This window comes from Homo sapiens, chromosome X (assembly GCF_000001405.40).
Source record: "Homo sapiens chromosome X, GRCh38.p14 Primary Assembly".
In the NCBI taxonomy this organism is placed as follows: domain Eukaryota; kingdom Metazoa; phylum Chordata; class Mammalia; order Primates; family Hominidae; genus Homo; species Homo sapiens.
In genome coordinates this window covers 119,328,768-119,348,593 of record NC_000023.11, presented here as the reverse complement: position 1 = coordinate 119,348,593, position 19,826 = coordinate 119,328,768, and the positions used below count along the sequence as shown (strand labels likewise).

General features: G+C 43.2%; 1 long non-coding RNA gene across 1 annotated transcript in view; it reads right to left on the bottom strand.

Moving 5' to 3' along the window:
• Positions 1-12,983: 12,983 nt before the first annotated feature.
• The window catches only part of LINC03098 (long intergenic non-protein coding RNA 3098), a 44,082-nt gene continuing 37,239 nt past the window's right edge, over positions 12,984-19,826 (bottom strand). The window contains exon 4 of the long non-coding RNA NR_110396.1: positions 12,984-15,544. This is a non-coding gene — a long non-coding RNA (long intergenic non-protein coding RNA 3098). The remainder of the gene's footprint in view (positions 15,545-19,826) is intronic.

Below are 19,826 nucleotides of genomic sequence, written 5' to 3'. Positions count from 1 at the left end.
CAATAAAATACAAATTTTGGTTAATCATGTTAAAGGAAAAACAAAGTTATCTTTCTATTCTTTTTATAGAAAATGTTATAAAATCATCATATGGGCAGGGAAACAAATGGTATGCAACCTACAATATGAGAAAGTTATAGGGAGTGTGTCAGGAAGTTAATATTAAATTATTTTTCTAGATTTTCTGATGTTTGTAGTATTTGTAAGCTTTTATAAATTTGTAATATATTGTGATTTCTTTTCTCAGTTTAAAGAAATATTCACTTTTGTACCTAATTTTGTATTGTTCTTCTTAAGAGAGAACCCCCCAAATTGTATGTTAGGCCACACAAGCCTAGATCTATCCTCCTTATATGCAGTCTTTTAGCAAATACTGTTGGCTCTACCTTCAATATCTGTACAGAATCTGAGTACTTCTCACCATCTTCACTCCCACCACTCTGGTCTCAGCCACCCTCATTTTCTGCCTGGATTATTGCAATAGCCTCCTAATTTTTCTTCTTGCTTCTTCCCTTGTCCTCTTGTAGTCTAATGTGAACAGAATAGCCAGAGCGATTATTTTAAAGCCAAGTCCTATCTGGTTCCTCCTCTACTCAAAACTCTCCAGTGGTTTCCATCGTCACTCAGAGTAAAATCCAAAGTCCTTTTTTTGTGCCCTTCAGAGACCTATGTGACCTGTGCTCCCACAAATCTCTCTGACTTCCTTTCCTGCTCCTCTCTCTTAACCTGCTCCATTCTAGTCTCCTTGGAATGGAGTAAACATACTTCTATCTTGGAGCATTGGCATTGGCTATTCCCCCTACCTGGAACGCTCTTCTTTCAGATATCTGCATGACTTACCCCCTCAGTTCTTTCAGGTCTCTGCTCAAATGTCACCTTATCAGTGAGACCTTCCTAATATAAAATTACAGCCTCCCCATCATTCATTATCTCCCTTCTCTGCCTTATTTTTCTCTATATCACTTATCACATCTGATATAATACATACTTCCCTGTATATTTATATATTTTCTTTGTCCCCCATTAAAAGTAAGTTCCGCAAGGGAGAGGACATTATTCTGTTCACTAATGTATCCAGAGCATCTAGACATGTGCTTGGCACATAGCAGGCATCCAATAAATATCTGCTGAATGAATGAAGGAAGGACAAATCCTATATGCCCATTTAAGCAATGGGATTAGAGGGTCTTCTTCTCCTTCTCCTTCTCCTTTTTTTTGAGAGTTTAGCCCTTGTCACCCAGGTTGGAGTGCAATGGCGCAATCTCGGCTCACTGCAACCTCCGCTTCCCAGGTTCAAACAATTCTCGTGCCTCACGAGTAGCTGGGATTACAGGCGTGTGCCACCACGCTGAGCTAATTTTGTATTTTTAGCAGAGATGGGGTTTCACCATGTTACCCAGGCTGGTCTCGAGCTCCTGACCTCAAGTGATCCACCCACCTCGGCCTCCCAAAGTGCTGGGATTACAGGCGTGAGCCACTGTGCCCGGCCCCTTTTCTTCTTTTTTAAAAAAGGTACTTTTTTTTTAAAGTGTGGTAAAATATACATAGCATAAAATTTATCATTTTAACAATTTGTAAATGTACAGTTTGCTGGCATCAAGTATATTCACACTGTAGTATAGCCATCACCTCCATGCATCCCACAGAACAGTTCTTGTCTTGCAACATTGAAACTCTGTACCCTGTTTCTTCTTTATATACTAAGTTAATGCCTGAATTTTTTATAATAAACATTTATTACTATAATGTCAAAAGGCCATTTCCATTTTGGGAACAGACTAATCAGAAATTTATATTCATCTCATAAGACAATAATTGAGAAAAGACTGTGTTTCTATTCCTTGAACAGATTAAATGTGAAGCTGTCCAGTTTTTTAAATGATTCATTAACGTGGTCCTCTGGGAGCTTGAATATTCAGTACCAGCTGTTTCCCTCAGTAATATTTGAATTTAATATTTTACCTTAAGAAATTTGATGCCAAAGAAATAGTAAATATTTAACTACATATGGTATTATTTTAATATGTTAACATGTTTTCTTTACTTGGAGTTTGTTTAATTAGCAATACTGTCACAGTTCTGCAACATCATAATACAGAGAAGGGAGAGAGGAAAGTGGCACCTACTGAGAGCCTACTAGGTGTCAGGTGCTTTGCAGATATTAGGAGTGGCCTCCATGTCCTCAGATCTCACTCACTTGGCATTACACTCCAGATTGACTTTCACCATCTCCATTTTGTGGCAAATGCTCTTGACAAGATCACCAATTATTTCCCTGTCACTAAATCCCAATAGACAATTTTCAGTCTTTATTCTCTTAACCTTACAGCAGCAGTTAGCACAGATTATCATCCCTTTCTTATCAAAACCCCTTCTTCCTTTGGTTCATATTCAGAGCTTTTTTATTTCACTTCCTTAATACTTTTATTATTTTTCAATTTCTCTCCATATCCACTGTCCCCACCCAAACTGGTCTGACATTGTATACTCTTGCCTGGACTACTCTTCTAGCCTCCTAACTGGTCTCTTTGCCTCCAGTCCGCCCACCCCCAATCTGTTTCCTACACAACTGCCAATGACCTCTCCAAACTACGATCACACCACTCCCTTGTTTATAACTCCTTGATGGATTTTCTTTGCTCTAAAGTTCAGTATCTTTATTCCGGTCTACAGAGCCCTTCATCCTCTTGTTTCTGCCTGTCTTGCCAGACTCAGCTTGAGCCACTCTCATTTTTGATCTTTCTACTTGAGGATTCTTTAAGTTTCTTGAATAAGTCAAACACTCATCCCTGGATCTTTGCACATGCTCTTCCCTCTTTCTGGACAACTCTTTATTCATCTATTTATTCACTCAACAAATATTTATTGAGTGCCTACCAGGTGCTGGGCACTGTTCTAAGTATTGGGGATATAGCACTGAACAAAATAAAGATTCTTATGCTTGTGGAGCTTGCATTCTAGCCAGAGGAGAGAGAGAAAAATTAATGAAGGCAATAATTAAGTAAACCGCATGGTATTTTAGAAGGTGATAAGTACTATGGAAAAAAGAAAAGGTAGAGAGCAAGGTAAGCAGGATCTACAGTACAGAAGAGGGTGGGTTGGTGAAATTTTCAATGGCAAGGTCAACGTAAGCCTCCTTGAGAGGGTGATAGTTAAGCAAAGACTTGAAGAAGGTGAGAGAACAAGCCATGTGGATATCTGAGGGAAAAACATTCTAGGGAGAGGAAGTCGTCATTGCAAACTTGTGAGGGGGACTCTTGCATGCTGTGTTGGAGGAATGGCAAAGAAGATGGTATGGCTGAAGTGGAGTAAGCAAGGACAAGCACAGTAAGAGATGGTACTGAAGAGACAGCTGGAGCCTAGACTGTGAAGGGGCTGGGAGGCCACTTTATGGAGTTTGGCTTTTTTCTCCGAGTGAATTGTGAAGCTATTGGAGGGGTTTGAGCAGAATAGTCATATAATCTAATTAAATTTATTCCAACATCCCTCTATGCAATGTTGAGAATAGACTCAAGAGAAGATGTGGGTGGGGGAAGAGGAAGTGGGAAGACTGTTCAGGAGGATATTACAGTGACCCAAGTGAGAGATGATGGTGGCTTGGGCCAGAGTAGTAGCATTCGAGGTGGTGAGAAGGGGTTGGATTATGGACATATTTTGACAGTATAGCCATCTGGACTTGCTGGTTAGATATAAAGTGTGAGCAGGGCCATATCCTATACATAGGATCTGAAACTTACCTAGTTTGTGGGGCCTTGTTTAAAAAACATACAAAATAAAGTACAAATGTGAGTATGTATATAAAATGAGAAAAATTATGCCAATCAGGTAGACTTTGTCAGGAAAAGATGAGTCAGATACTCTATCTAATGCGTGATTTGATATGCTGGGATTCATAAAACCCGTGACTTCACACACATACTCATTGCTTGTAGTACTGCTACAGGTCTGTGTCCTATGAACAATTCTATTTAATGATACTCCCATCAAAAAAAAAAAAAAAAACAGAGTATGCTGCACTTATAATTGTGTATGCTGCATTGTCCAGTATATTCTTAACAGTTAATAAATCCCTTTTTTGGAGACAGGGTCTTGCTCTGTTGCCCAGGCTGGAGTGCAGTGGCACAATCACAGCTCACTGCAGCCTCGACCTCCCAGGCTCAAGCGATCCTCCCACCTCAGCCTCTCAACCAGTTGGGACTACAATACAGGTTCACGCCACCAAGCCTGGCTAATTTTTATATTTTTTTGTAGAGACGGGGTTTTGCCATGTTGCTCAAGCTGGTCTCGAACACCTGAGCTCAAGTGATCCGCCTGCCTTGGCATGAGAAATCCCATTTTAATCTAGGCATCAGTAAGAGCCAAATCTTCTGCATACAAGTCTATGTTTTAGAAGGATTTCCCACAGTCTAGCTTCTGGCTGTGTACATTTCAAACCTTGTGTCACCTCTACTACCTCTATGCTTCCAGTGTCAAGTACCATAGGACAGATTCATATCACAATATGACTTTATGACTTCTGGTTCTCTACTGTTCTGTCACTATACCAGGTGAGTCAGCACATGGGCTGTAAGGGGTGTTCCAGGAAGCCAGCCTTTTATTGGGACAGCAGTATGCAGTACACAAGGAAGTGACTGCAAACCACATAAATGTATCTTGCCAAAGCCCAGCTAAATGTATCCCTAACTCAACTTCACCTAAGCAGGATCCCAAAAATGTTCTTGGTCACTCCAACAGCACCTAATACAAGGGGAAACATGATGGAAGGAAATTTGGAATGGAAAGATACAGTGGTCTTAACTGACTGCAGTAAGAATATCTTACTGTCGCAAATTTTACAAAAATATATGACAATGTGAACACATTCCTAGGGGCCTTTCCAGGGCCTTGGAATATGAGGGTTCCTGAGGCTAAAACTTCATTAGCTTCAGGTAAAGCTGGCACTGCATATGGGGTGTGACAGAAAGGGAGACATTAAGGATGATTCTGAAGGTTTTGGCCTGAGGAATGAATAGGATGAAGTTGCTATTCCTGAGATGGTGAACACCTCAGGAGGAGAAGGTGGGCCAAGTGGAGAGGGCGGAGAGGGGGAAGATCAAGAGTTCAGTGTGACCATGATAAGTTGAGATGCCTGTTAGGCAGCCAAATGGAGATGCCAAGTAACTCTTACCATTCCATTGGTGGACTAGTCCTACTTGTCTTTCACAGTTCAGCTAAGTGTCATCTCTTCATTTTGGACTCACTGGGTAAGGTTAAGTCCATTGTTATACACTCTACAACATGCTGTACCTCTCTTTTTGTAAAAATTAACACCCCCGTGATGATTTTTTTTTTTTCTGAGACGGAGTTTCGCTCTTGTTGCCCAGGCTGGGGTGCAATGGTGCGATCTCAGCTCACTGCAACCTCTGCCTCCTGAGTTCAAACGATTCTCCGGCCTCAGCCTCCTGAGTAGCTGGGATTACAGGCATGTTCCACCACGCCTGGCTAATTTTGTATATTTAGGAGAGACGGGGTTTCTCCATGTTGGTCAGGCTGGTCTCGAACTCCCGACTTCAGGTGATCCGCTTGCCTCGGCCTCCCAAAGTGCTGGGGTTACAGGAGTGAGCCGCTGCGCCCGGCCGTGATGATACTTTTAATGGTTGTTGCTATGGTTTGAATATGTGTCCCCATCAAAGCTCATGTTGAAATTCAGTCCCCAGTTTGATGGTGTTGGGAGGTGCAGCCTAATGGGAGAAATTTAGGTCATGGGAGTGGGTCTCTCAGGAATAGATTAATGCCTTCCCTGGGGTGGGTGAGTGAGTTCTTGCTTAGTTACCTGAGAACTAGTTGTTAAAAAGAGCCTGACACCTCCCCTGACTCTCTCTTGCTTCCTCTCTTGCCATGGAATATCTGCACACTCTAGCTTCCCTTCGCCTTCCACCATGAGTGGAAGCAGCCTGAGGACCTCACCAGAAGCTAAGTAGATGCTATGGCCATGCTTCTTGTACTGTCTGCAGAACCGTGAGCCAAATTTTTAAAACAAATTACCCAGCCTCAGGTATTCCTTTATAGCAACACAAAGTGGGCTAAGATAATTGTCTCTCGCACTGCACTAGATAAACCTGGGACTGTGCATTACATACTGCGGCTATCTGTAATGTATAACACAGTACCCAGCAGTAGATAGATCTTCAAGAAATGTTGAAATATTTGTTGAATAAATGATACACAGTCAAGTAATTTTTCCAACTCATGGCTAGAAAATGGCAGAGCTAAGATTTACAGAGTCATATTTTTTCAATGTTTAAAAAACAAAGCAAATGACACATACAGAAAAGTGCTCTTAACACCAATGAATTTTCACAAATTGAGCACACTTTTTAAATTAGCACTCAGGCCAAGGAATAGAACATTGGCAGCATCCCAGAAGCGTCATGCTTCCTTTCTAAATTACTACCCCTCTTTCTTACCCCAATGTAACCAACATCCTGATTTCTAACATCATAAATTAGTTTTTCCTGGTTTTGAACTTTATATAAGTGGGATGTAATAGTATATATGCTTTTGTGTCTGGCTTCTTTTGCTCTATGTTTGTGAAATTTAGAAATGTTGTGAGTAGCAGTAGTTGCTCATTTTTATTTATTTTTATTGAGAATTACACAGCAGTTCTCAAACTTTTTGGTCTCAGGATCCCTTTAAATGTATGCAAATTATTGAGGAACCAAATAGATTTTGCTTATATGGGTTATAGCCATTGATATTTACTGTATTAGAAATTAGGCTGGGCATGGTGGCTCACGCCTATAATCCCAGCACTTTGGGAGGTTGAGGCGGGCAGATCACCTGAGGTCAGGAGTTCGAAACCAGCCTGGCCAACATGGTGAAACCCCGTCTCTACTAAAAATATAAAAATTAGCCAGGCATCATGGTGAGCATCTGTAATCCCAGCTACTCAGGAGGCTGAGGCAGGAGAATCGCTTGAACCTGGAAGGTGGAGGTTGCAGTGAGCCGAGATCGCGCCACTGCACTCCAGCCTGGGAAAAATTTAAAAATATTTATTAATTAAATAACCCATTACATGTTAACATAAATAAATAACATATTTTAGTGAATATAATTATATTTTCCAAAAGAAAAAGATTAGTGAGAAATATGGCATTGAGTATAAACTAGAGTCCTGGCAAATATGTTAGAATACTCACAGTGTATGCAGTGGCTGACTTCCAGAGGTCTTAGCCAAACCCCAGAAGAGCACAGGAATGATGGCAGCAGGAGGCACTACGATGGAGACCATGCATAGTTCCACAGTCTCTGGGTTTCATACTTCAACAAGCAGCAGGTCCGAATGAGTGTTCCAAGGAGACATGACATTGGTACATGGAAGGGACCCAATCAATTTGGTAAATGTGTAAATGCATGATGTGATAAAAAAAAAAAGTTGATCACTTTGGGTGGGAAATGACGATAATGGGAGGGCACAGACAAGGCAAGTAGGGAAGGGAGTGGTGGCAGAAAATAATATGCTTGTTTGGGAGGCAGAAGACCTACTTTTCAGGGTGCATGGCAAACCCTTTAGTGTGTTATTTATGGCTTCAATCTGTTTCTAGACCCATCTGCTACTCTGTCCCATGGTCCAGCCATTTCATTCCCCAGATAGGCAGGCACACACACACACACACACACACATTTCTGCCACTATTCATGCTATTTCCTTTACCTGCAATAACCTCCCTTCTTTGTCTCTCCTTTACTGTCAGTTAAATTCCTGATGATTCTTCAGGACCCAGTCGAAATGCCTGCTCCCACACACCCGCCCACCTGCCCAGACACTGACCTACTTCCTCGCCTTGGCATCTTAGCTCATCATTCTCTTCTATGTTCCCAGAGCACTTTGTGCTTACTCCTATTTCAGAATTTGACTCGTGTCATTATTGTCCAAGTGTCTGTCTTCCCCTCTAGACCAAGAACTAGATAAAGCAAGCCACGAGTCTTAGACACCTGTGAGTACCCAGCCCCAAACATAATTCCAGGCATATAGTAGGTGCTCAATACATGCTCACTGAATTATTAAAATGCCTGAGGTCTGTAGTGTTTGTCCTGCAGCTTCAAGTGGACAGCTCAGCTCTTCGTGACCTGGTAAGACACTTGCATATATATATATATATATATATATATATATATATATATACACACACACATAGTAACATGTTATCTCCTCTAAAGTGAAGAGCAATGGTCCTGTTAAAAGTTATGAAGCAAGAATGGATGGAAAGAGACAGGAAAAAGATAAAGAATGCAGGAATAGTCTGTTCTCACATTTTAAAAAATCTACTTGGGAGTATTTGTTTTTGCTAAGAAAGCGTAGAGGCAGCCCTGGTCATAGCACTGCAGTAGGAGACGGGGGCGGCCCATGAGGCGTCTTCCTCACCACAGGATTTCCATCAAATCCCTTAGTCTGCCCTCTGGTTAAGGACAATATCACCTTCTTCCCTTATCCCAAAGCTTAGGCTTTTCACATAGCCAAAGACCCTCTGAAGTTATGAGTATATTTTTAACAAGAGCCATAGGGAGATAATGTCCTGCCTTTACCATCCTCCTCAGTAAGGGCATATCACATATTCTGATTCCAAGTCCTCCCTTCTCTGGGAAGCCTTTCCTGAGAAAAGCCCACAAATTGTGATGCCTCTTGATTCTTTTGGCTGGGGAGTTGAGTGACACAGTATATGAGAATGTAAAGATGGACATGTTTCACATGCAGGCTTTCTCCCATCTAGACTTGAGCCCTTGTCCACAGAGATAGTGGCGCATCATTTTCTGTCCCCAGCAATGTCTCATATGGGGCATTCCACGTTGGTGCACAATAAATATTTGCTGATTGATCAAGGATGGGTGGGCAGGCTAGTCTGTACCTTTCAGAGACCATAGGTCATGCATATTTACTTTGTCTGTGGCTGATTAATTAACCTTCTGTTGTCAAGCCATCTCTGAAGCTGGAAAGATAAGAAAAAGCCCTGTCTCGACTTCAGATTAGAGGTCAGGAGGTGTTGGTTTCTAGCTGTGGCTTCTTCATTAACTGGTAAAAACTTGGGCAAGCCAATTTGTTGTTCTGGGCCTCAGTTTCCTGGACTGAAAAAAGAATGGGAGACTTAGGTTTCATGGCCAAGATAGAGTAACAGAACCCAGGTATACCCTCCTGCATGAAACAATGGGTTTTAAGACATTGAACGTTAGGCAATGAAGGACAGTAATCCCAGAGAGATGGGAACAAACAAGGGGAGCCCTATGATAACCTTAGTCTGTTTCCTTGAGAAAATTTCAGAAAGTGACATAGGGAAGGGTACTGAAGTAGAGCCTGGTGGACCTCCTTGAATTAAGGAGACAGAACTGAAGGTCAAGGGAGACCAAGAAAGGAGAGCTCATAGGACAGAACACCAGAGAGGAAAGAGCTACTCTAAGAAAGACCTAGAGTATTCAGCAGAGTACTGATCAGCATGTATGTGTGAGAAAACTACTCAAGGGTGGCAAATAACCATCTGACATGATTAGAGGGAACTGTGCCTTGTGCTCACATAGGGCCAGAAATAGTGCTTCTTCCCTCCAGGCAGACTGGAGAAACTCATAATTCATGGGACATTGAGTAGTCAGGAGGTCTTGCCTAAGTAATGGGAAATAACTAGCCAAGACTAAGTGCTGTTGCAGACCCACCTAACCAACCACAAAAGCAAACCCAGAAGAATCAAACTGTTTCCAAGTAATTTAACTGACCATACCAAGTGTTGATGAGGATGTGGAGCAACTGGAACTCTCATTCACTGCTGGTGGGACTGCAAAATGGCACAACCCATTTGGAAATCATTTTGGCAGTTTCTAAAAATGTTAAACATACACCTGCCATATGACACAGCCATTCTACTCTTAGGTATTTACTGAAGAGAAATGAAAGCCTATGTACATTCAGAGACTTGTACATGAATGTTCAAGGCATCTTTATTTATAATAGCCAACAACTAGAAACAAACCAAATACCCATCAGTAGGTGAATGCATAAATTGTGGTGTATCCATGCAGTGAAATACTACATGCAACAATGTGGATAAATCTTAAAATGATTATACTGAGTAAAAGAAGCTAGACAAAAAGAGCACATACTATATGATTCCATTTTTTTTTTTGAGACAGCGTCTCACTGTGTTGCTCAGGCTGGAGTGCAGTGGTGTGATGTCAGCTCACTGCAAGCTCTGCCTCCTGGGTTCAGGCCATTCTCCTGCCTCAGCCTCCTGAGCAGCTGGGACCACAGGCGCCTGCCACCATGCCTGGCTAATTTTTTGTATTTTTTAGTAGAGACAGGGTTTCACTGTGCTAGCCAGGATGGTCTCAATCTCCTGACCTCGTGATCCGCCCGCCTCGGCCTCCCAAAGTGCTGGGATTACAGGCGTGAGCCACCGCACCTGGCCTATATGATTCCATTGTTATAAAATTGTAGAAAATGCAAATAATCTATTGGGACAGGAAACAGACCAGGGTTTGCCTGGGGATGGTTTGGAGAAGAGAAAGAAGTGTGCAAGTGAGAGAATACAAAGGAGCATGAACTAATTTTTGGGTTTTTAGGTATGCTCATCATCTTTGTTATGATGCTGGTTTCACGGGTATCCACGTCTATCAAAACTTATCAAATCATACACTTTAAATATGTGCAGTTTATTGTATGTCAATTATTCCTTAATATAGTTGCTTTAAAAATCCATTAATTTATCTCGTACTTTGAATTAATCTTTTACCCATGCTTAATTTTGTAACAATATGCTTTTGGAAAATATTGTTTTACTGAGGTATGCAGGCAGACCTTCCAAATATTAACAGATTTTGCCATATATTATTTAAAAAATCACATTTGTTACTATTACCACAGACCTCATCAGGACAGTCTTTAAGCATGGGGACGCTGTCAAGCTCATACAGATTTTCTAAAATTCTCTTTTTTACTTGAAAGCTCCCATATATTTTATTCATTTATGTATTTTTTAGAGATGGGCTCTCACCGCATTACTGGGGCTGGTCTTGAACTCCTGGGCTCAAGCAATCCTCCCACATCAGCCTCCCGAAGTGCTGGGATTACAGGCGTGAGGAACTGTGCCTGGAGAAAGCTCCAATATTATCATTGGTAGCATATACTGCTAGTTAAGTGACAGACTCACTTTGTTCATTTTCCAGGAAATGTCTGCCAAAAGCCTAAATCTGAATAACTGTAGTTCGTCTGTTAGCCATTCTTTCAAGTAAAAATAGGGTTCCATGACAAAATTGTCTAGTTCAGCTCACAACTCTAACAAGTACTTTTCCTCAAGACAACCATTATACATTGGTGTGTAACAGATGTGCCTTATGCATGCTTCCTAGCTCATCATATGGACAATGTACCCAATGATTAGATTTGATAGAATTGATTTTTACTTCTTCATCAAGGACTTTGTTTACTGAGTGTGTAGGGTGAAGAATGCCATGAATACCAGTACAGTTGGTACCACTGCCTTGATTTGTGCTGAGGTGCTGGCAATATATATATCTTTGCTTTTGCACCATCAGTACAAATGTCAATGTGTCAATGCAATGAAGAAGGCAAATATCCTTTTAGTGTTATGAAAATGATTTTGACCTTGAGGACCCCTTGTAAAGGTTTTGGGGACTCCTCAGAGATCCACAGATCACATTTTTGAGAAAAGGTGCTATGCAGCATTATATTGTCAGAATATACTACAATCTATTGATTTTTACTATTGTCAGACATTTGGAATATTCTGTTCTGAGCTATTACAAATAGAAGTGATAAGAATATCTTTGGACACTTCTCTGAGTTATACATGTGCATGTATTTGTGTTGGATATGCTTAGAAGTAAATTTGCTGGCTCACAGTGTATATGTATGCTCAAGTTTAGTAAATCATGCCAAATGGTTTTCCAAAGTGGATGCATTATTTCACACTCCCACCAGCAGTGTCTGAGTTTTAGAGGATTTGAATTCAGATGCATCTGATTGTAAACTCAAGCTCTATACAGTGATAGATTTTGCTTTTTAAAATAAAATTAATAGTTGCTCATGATAAAAATTCACAATATAGACGAGTTTAAGTTGAAAAGTACCACAGAAATGAGAACACTACTATAAAAGGATATGTGTACAAGGATGTTAGTGATAGCTCAGTTTGCAGTGGCAAAGGAAAACAGTTAATGCCCATCAGTATTTAATAATACATCAATAATATTGACTATTAGCCATTAAAAAAGGAAGAATTAGGGCTGGGTATGGGCTCATGCCTATAATCCCAGTACTTTGGGAGGCCGAGGTGGGAGGATCTCTTAAGGCCAGGAGTTCAAGACCAGTCTGGGCAATACAGTAAGACCCCATCTCTACAAATAAAAAGTAAAAAAAAATTATCTAGGTGTGGTGGCATACACCTTTAGTCCCAGCTACTTAGGAGGCTGAAATAGGAGAATTGCTTGAACCCAGGACTTCAAAGCTACAGTAGGCTATGATTGCACTACTGCACTCCAGCCTGTTCAACAGAGCAAGATCCTGTCTCTAAAAAACAACAACAAAAACAAAAAAGGAGGAATTAAGTCTATACCAGCAGACTTAGAGGAATTCCTCAAAGTTTCATTAAGCAGCAAGGATACAATGCTGAGAAGCATATACAGTATGAACCCGTTTTGTTATTTGTAAAGCAAACAACAAGAACAGCCTATGCATGTATGAATAGGTTTGTATATGAATAACTGGACATGACTAAAGGTGCTAAAAGTCACATAACAGGCTGTTAATTATGTTTAGGGATGGGGCAAAAAAAAAAAAGTGTGAATAAACATGCCCGTGATAAAAACAGCATGTATGAGATCCCATCTTTGTAAAAGTGTGTGTGTGTGTGCACGCACGCGTATGAATAGGGAAAGGTAGGGAAGTATGGTCATTGTCTTAATCTGTTTCCTGTTGCTATAACTGAGTACCCGAGACTGGGTAATTTACAAAGAAAAGAAATTTATTTCTTACAGTTCTGGAGGCTGGTTGTCCAAGGTTGAGGGACCACTTCTGGTAAGGGACTTCTTACAGCATCATAATATGGCAGAGGGCATCACATGGTGAGAGGACAAGAACTTGCCAAACTGGCTTTTATAACAGACCCAGTCCCATGATTACCCATGAATCCATGAATGGATTAATCCATTAATGAGGGCACAGCCCTCATGACCCAATAACCTCTTAAAAGCCTCACCTCTTAATACTGTTACATTGGGGAGTACGTTTCAACATGAGTTTCAGAGGGGTCAAATATTTAAACCAGAGCAGTCTACCAAAACATAATTTGCGGTTATCTCTGGGTAGGATTTGTTTGTGATTTTTTTCTTCCTTAAACTTGTATTTATCACCAGAATTTTTAAAGAATAAATATATGTTACTGGGACAAAGATTTGTAAAAGGTGCTGGGTATACTGACTAGTTATCTGGAAAAATATAAAATGAGGTCCAATCTGTACACCACACACAGGAATTAACTCTAAATGGATCAAGGATCCAAGTGTAATACATGAAACTATACAGATATTAAAAGAGGCTGGGCGCAGTGGCTCACTCCTGTAATCCCAACACTTTGGGAGGCTGACATGGGTGGATTGCTTGAGTCAGGAGTTCAAGACCAACCTGGGCAGCATGGCAAAACCCTGCCTCTACTAAAAATACCCACACACAAAAATAGCCGGGAGTGGTGGTGTGTCCGGAATTGGTGGGTTCTTGGTCTCACTGACTTCAAGAACGAAGCCGCGGACCCTCGCGGTGACTATTACAGCTCTTAAGGTGGCGCGTCTGGAGTTTGTTCCTTCTGATGTTCGGATGTGTTCGGAGTTTCTTCCTTCTGGTGGGTTCGTGGTCTTGCTGGCTCAGGCAGGAGTGAAGCTGCAGACCTTCGTGGTGAGTGTTACAGCTCATAAAGGCAGTGTGGACCAAAAGAGTGAGCAGCAGCAGGATTTATCGCAAAGAGCGAAAGAACAAAGCTTCCACAGTGTGGAAGGGGACCCGAGCGGGTTGCCACTGCTGGCTCGGGCAGCCTGCTTTTATTCTCTTATCTGCCCCACCCACATCCTGCTGATTGGTAGAGCCGAGTGGTCTGTTTTGACAGGGCACTGATTGGTGCGTTTACAATCCCTGAGCTAGACACAAAGGTTCTCCACGTCCCCACCAGATTAGCTAGATACAAAGTGTGGACACAGAGATTCTCCAAGTCCCCACCAGAGTAGCTAGATACAGAGTGTCGATTGGTGCATTCACAAACCCTGAGCTAGACACAGGGTGCTGATTGGTGTGTTTACAAACCTTGAGCTAGACATAAAGGTTCTCCAAGGCCCCACCAGAGTAGCTAGATACAGAGTGTTGATGGGTGCAGTCACAAACCCTGAGCTAGACACAGGGTGCTGATTGGTGTGTTTACAAACCTTAAGCTGGATACAGAGTGCCGATTGGTGTATTTACAATTTCTTAGCTAGACATAAAGGTTCTCCACGTCCCCACCAGACTCAGAAACCCAGCTGGCTTCACCCACTGGATTCTGCACCGGGACTGCAGGTGCAGCTGCATGCCAGTCCTGCGCCATGCGCCCGCACTCCTCAGCCCTTGGGTGGTCAATGGGACTGGCCGCAGTAGAGCAGGGGACAGCACTCATCGGGGAGGCTCGGGCTGCACAGGAGCCCACGGAGGGGGTGGGAGGCTCAGGCACGGCGGGCTGCAGGTCCCAAGCCCTGCCCCACGGGAAGGCAGCTCAGCCCTGGTGAGAAATTGAGCGCAGCGCCAGTGGGCTGGCACTGCTGGGGGCCCCAGTACACCCTCCCCAGCCGCTGGCCCAGGTGCTAAGCCCCTCATTGCCCGGGGCCGGCCGGGCCAGCCGTCTGCTCCGAGTGCGGGGCCCGCCAAGCCCACGCCCACCCGGAACTCCAGCTGGCCTGCAAACGCTGCGTGCAGCCCCGGTTCCCACTGGTGCCTCTCCCTCCACACCTCCTTCCACGTTGGGGAGCCGGCTCTGGCCTTGGCCAGCCCAGAAAGGGGATCCCACAGGGCAGTGGTGGGCTCAAGGGCTCCTCAAGTGCCGCCACAGTGGGAGCCCAGGCAGAGGAGGCACCAAGAGCGAATGAGGGCTGTGAGGACTGCCAGCATGCTGTCACCTCTGAGTGGCACACACCTGGGTACCAGCTACTTGGGAGGCTGAGGTGAGAAGATCATTTTGTGTCCGGAATTGGTGGGTTTTTGGTCTCCCTGACTCCAACAATGAAGCCGCAGACCCTCGCAGTGAGTGTTACAGCTCTTAAGGTGGCGTGTTTGGAGTCTGTCCCTTCTGATGTTCAGATGTGTTTGGAGTTTCTTCCTTCTGGTGGGTTTGTGGTCTCGCTGGCTCTGGAGTGAAGCTGCAGACCTTCACAGTGAGTGTTACAGCTCTTAAGGTAGCACGTCTGGAGTTGTTCATTCCTCCCAGTAGGCTTGTGGTCTTGCTGGGCTCAGGAGTGAAGCTGCAGATCTCCACGGGGAGTGTTACAGCTCATAAAAGCAGCGTGGACCCAAAGAGTGAACAGTAGCAAGATTTATTGCAAAGAGCAAGAAAACAAAGCTTCCACAGTGTGAAAGGGGACTGGAGTAGGTTGCCACTGCTGGCTCAGGCAGCCTGCTTTTATTCTCTTATCTGGCCCCACCCACATCCTGCTGATTGGTAGAGCCCAGTGGCCTGTTTTGTCAGGGCACTGATTGGTGCGTTTACAATCCCTGAGCTAGATACAAAGGTTCTCCACATCCCCATCAGATTAGTTAGATACAGAGTTTGGAAACACAGGTTCTCCAAGGCCCCACCAGAGCAGCTAGATACAGAGTGTCGATTGGTGCACTCATAAACCTTGAGCTAAACACAGGGTGCTGATTGGTGTGTTTACAAACCTTGAGCTAGATACAGAGTGCCCATTGGTGTATTTACAATCCCTGAGCTAGACATAAAGGTTCTCCACATCCCCACCAGAGCAGCTAGCTACAGAGTGTCGATTGGTGCACTCACAAACCTTGAGCTAAACACAGGGTGCTGACTGGTGTATTTACAATCCCTGAGCTAGACATAAAGGTTCTCCAAGGCCCCACCAGAGCAGCTAGATACAGAGTGTCGATTGGTGCACTCACAAACCTTGAGCTAGACACAGGGTGCTGATTGGTGTGTTTACAATCCCTGAGCTAGATATAAAGACTTTCCACGTCCCCACCAGACTCAGGAGCCCAGCTGGCTTCACCTAGTGGATCCCGCACCAGGGCTGCAGGTGGAGCTGCCTGCCAGTCCCACGCCGTGCGCTCGCATTCCTCAGCCCTTGGGTGGTCGATGGGACTGGGCGCCATGGAGCAGGGGGTGGTGCTTGTCGGGGAGGCTCGGGCCACACAGGAGCCCTTGGAGTGGGTGGGAGGCTCAGGCATGGCGGGCTGCAGGTCCCAAGCCCTGCCCCGCGGGAAGGCAGCTAAGGCTCGGTGAGAAATCGAGCACAGCGCCGGTCGGCTGGCACTGGTGGGGGACTCAGTACACCCTCCACAGCCACTGGCCCGGGTCCTAAGTCCCTCATTGCCCGGAGCCAGCAGGGCTGGCCAGATGCTCCGAGTGCAGGGCCCGCCAAGCCCACGCCCACCCGGAACTCCAGCTGGCCCGCAAGCGCCTCACGCAGCCCCGGTTCCTGCTCGCGCCTCCCCCTCCACACCTCCCTGCAAGCTGAGGGAGTTGGCTCCAGCCTTGGCCAGCCCAGAAAGGGGCTCCCACAGTGCAGCGGCAGGCCGAAGGGCTCCTCAAGTGCCACCAAAGTGGGAGCCCAGGCAGAGGAGGCGCCGAAAGCAAGTGAGGGCTATGAGCACTGCCAGCACGCTGTCACCTCTCAATTTGAGCCTGGGGGGTGGAGGTTGCAGTGAACTGAGATCACGCCACTGCACTCGAGCCAGAGTGAGATCCTGTCTCAAAAAAAGAAAAAAAAAAAAAAAGAAAATGTGAACAAATTCCCTTTTACCCTTGGTGTAGGGAAAGGCTCTTTAATCATGACTCAAAATCTAGAAGCAATAAAAGAAAAAAATGGATAAACTTGACTACATTTTAAAATTCCATGGCAAAAAGCCTCATCATAATCAACACCAAAAAACAACTGAGAAACTGGAAGCAAATATGTGCAATATGCATCACAGATAAAGGGGCTAAAATTGTGACTCTACAAATAATGCTTCAAAATTGATGGGCATAGGTCCCCAAAACTGAATAGGAAAATGGAGAAATACGTGAACAGACAATTATCTATCATCAGTAAATAGCTCCTTAACCTTGTAACCTTACATATAATTAGGTAAATGCAATTAAAGCAACACCAGGATATCATTTCCCCCTATCAGATCAGCAAAAATTAAAAAGTACGGCAATACATTCTGTTGGCAAGTCCATAGTTACATAAATAAATAATTGAATTCATACATAGGGAGAAGGGAAAGCACTTTCTCACAGTAGAATGCCAATTAATAAATGTAGAAGGAATGACGGAAATAGAAAATCACCATTTGACAAATATCACAGTAATAATTGTGTTAGGCAAGAATCATCAAAGGGTTAGTGGGCAAAGTATGATGAGAAACAGGATATTCATATAGGCTCAAGCTATCTCTCCACAAGCTATAAACTAATTTGGAAAAGAAAAGGAGTAAATTTACAGTGGAGCAACCCAACAGACACCCCTTAACCAAGTGGTCAAAGTTAACATAACCAGTAATTAGACATATACATTGTGTGTCTCTTAATAGGATGCAGCGAAAAGGGCCTTGCATTAATTCTGTGATTTTCTTTTCCCAAATGCATAACCTGTACTTAGTCATAAGAAAACATGAGACAAACCTAAATTGAGAGACATTCTGCATAATAACTAGGCGTTACTTTTCTAAAGTGTCCAGGTCATGAGAAACAAAGACAGACCGAGAAGCTGTACCAGACTGCAGGAGACCGAGGAAATATAACAAGTAAATACAATGTGGGATCCTGGATTGGATCTTAGACCAGAAAAAGAGCAGCAGTGAGCCAATTGACAACTTCTGCATAAAGCCTCTAGATTAGTCAATAGTATCATATTGATGTTAATTTCCTGGGTTTGATTTATATAAGATGTTAACATTTGGGAAGCTGGTAGGGGGCAGATATTTGAATTCTTTGTACTGTTTTTGCAAGTTTTTTATAAGTCTGAAATTATTTCCAAATCAAAAGTTAAAATATGAAAAAAAGAATAAACATATATTGCTTATATAATCAGAAAAAAAAAACACAAAAAACTAGTTTTATTGTGAAAATAAGCCAAAATAAAAATAAACTCCCAAAATTCAAGTGAAATCTCCTTTCCCTTTACCCTCATCCGCAGCTCCATTCCGCAGGGGTAACCACTGTTACCATTTTCTTGTTTATCCACCCAGGAGTTTTTGCTGGGTGGATAAACACCGTGTGTGTGTGTGTGTGTGTGTGTGTGTGTGTGTGTGTGTCTGAAAGGGATACACACACACACACAGACACACACACACACACACCCCCCACAGATGAGATTGAGGCAGGAGAATAACGTCTGGAGGCAGGGAACCTAAAGCTGTTTCATGCTGACTTCCTAGAACTAAATTGAAAGGAAAACCCTAACTTTCCACGCCTAAGTAACAAAAGGACCAGAGGCTACTGCCTTTGCAAACCCCCACCTTTTCTGCACCACAGATGGGAAATTGAAAGTACCTCTGATTGGTTGCTTTTTGCATAGGAGGGCAACTTTGCAACTTCACTTCAGCCCCTAATTGGTTGCTGCAACCAATACTAATTGGGTGTAACTTTGTAACTTCACTTCAGCCTCTGATTGGAATCACACTGATTGCGGGCCACCACTTTATTTACATGAGGTGAGCACAAAGTGTCCAATGGGAAACTCTAGGGGGTACTTGGACCCCAGAAGATTCTGTATCCAGGGCTCTTGAGCCTCTACTCAGCCTGCTCCCACACTGTGGAGTGTACTTCCGTTTTCAATAAATCTCTGCTTTTGTTGCTTCATTCTTTCCTTGCTTTGTTTATGCATTTTGTCCAATTCTTTGTTCAAAATGCCAAGAACCTGGATATCCTCCACTGGTAACAAGATGACATTTATTCATACTATTCTGCTTCTATTTTCTTCATGAAACAGTATATTTTGGCTACTTATCAGTGCACATCCACATACATGCACCTCTTTTTTTTTTTTTGGTTTAATCTTTATCAGTCGGCCAGTCCTTGTTAGTTGTAATTTCTATTGGCTCCTGTTTTTCACTATTACAAGAAATGCTGCAGTGAACACCCTTGTTGATGTATGTTTGTGCATATGTGCAAGGGTATTTCAAGAAGGAAATTCTTCTTCACTTGGGGTTGGAATCACCTTTCTGCTTTGTATTCTGGCTGGACGGGAAACAAATGTGCATTAGACCATGGTGGAGTCTGGTCCTCTGTGGGAAAATAAGCTTAACATGGAAAGCAGTGGAGCCCTGGCCCCCTGCTCCATATTGGAGTACACATTCTCGTGGCCAGAATACTTGTGTCTTTCCCCTGAAGAGGAAGATAAATTTTTACTGCCCAGCTCTGCATTTTCAATATATCATTTATCAGTCACTCCACACTTCTGTCAGTTGAACTTTAATTTTATTTAACAAACACTTCTAATATGGTTAACGTGTGCTGGTCACTGAAATATTTTGCAAATGTTAACTCATTTTATCCTCATAACAGTCTTATGTGCTAGGTACTATCATTATCCTCATTTTTCAGATGAGGAAA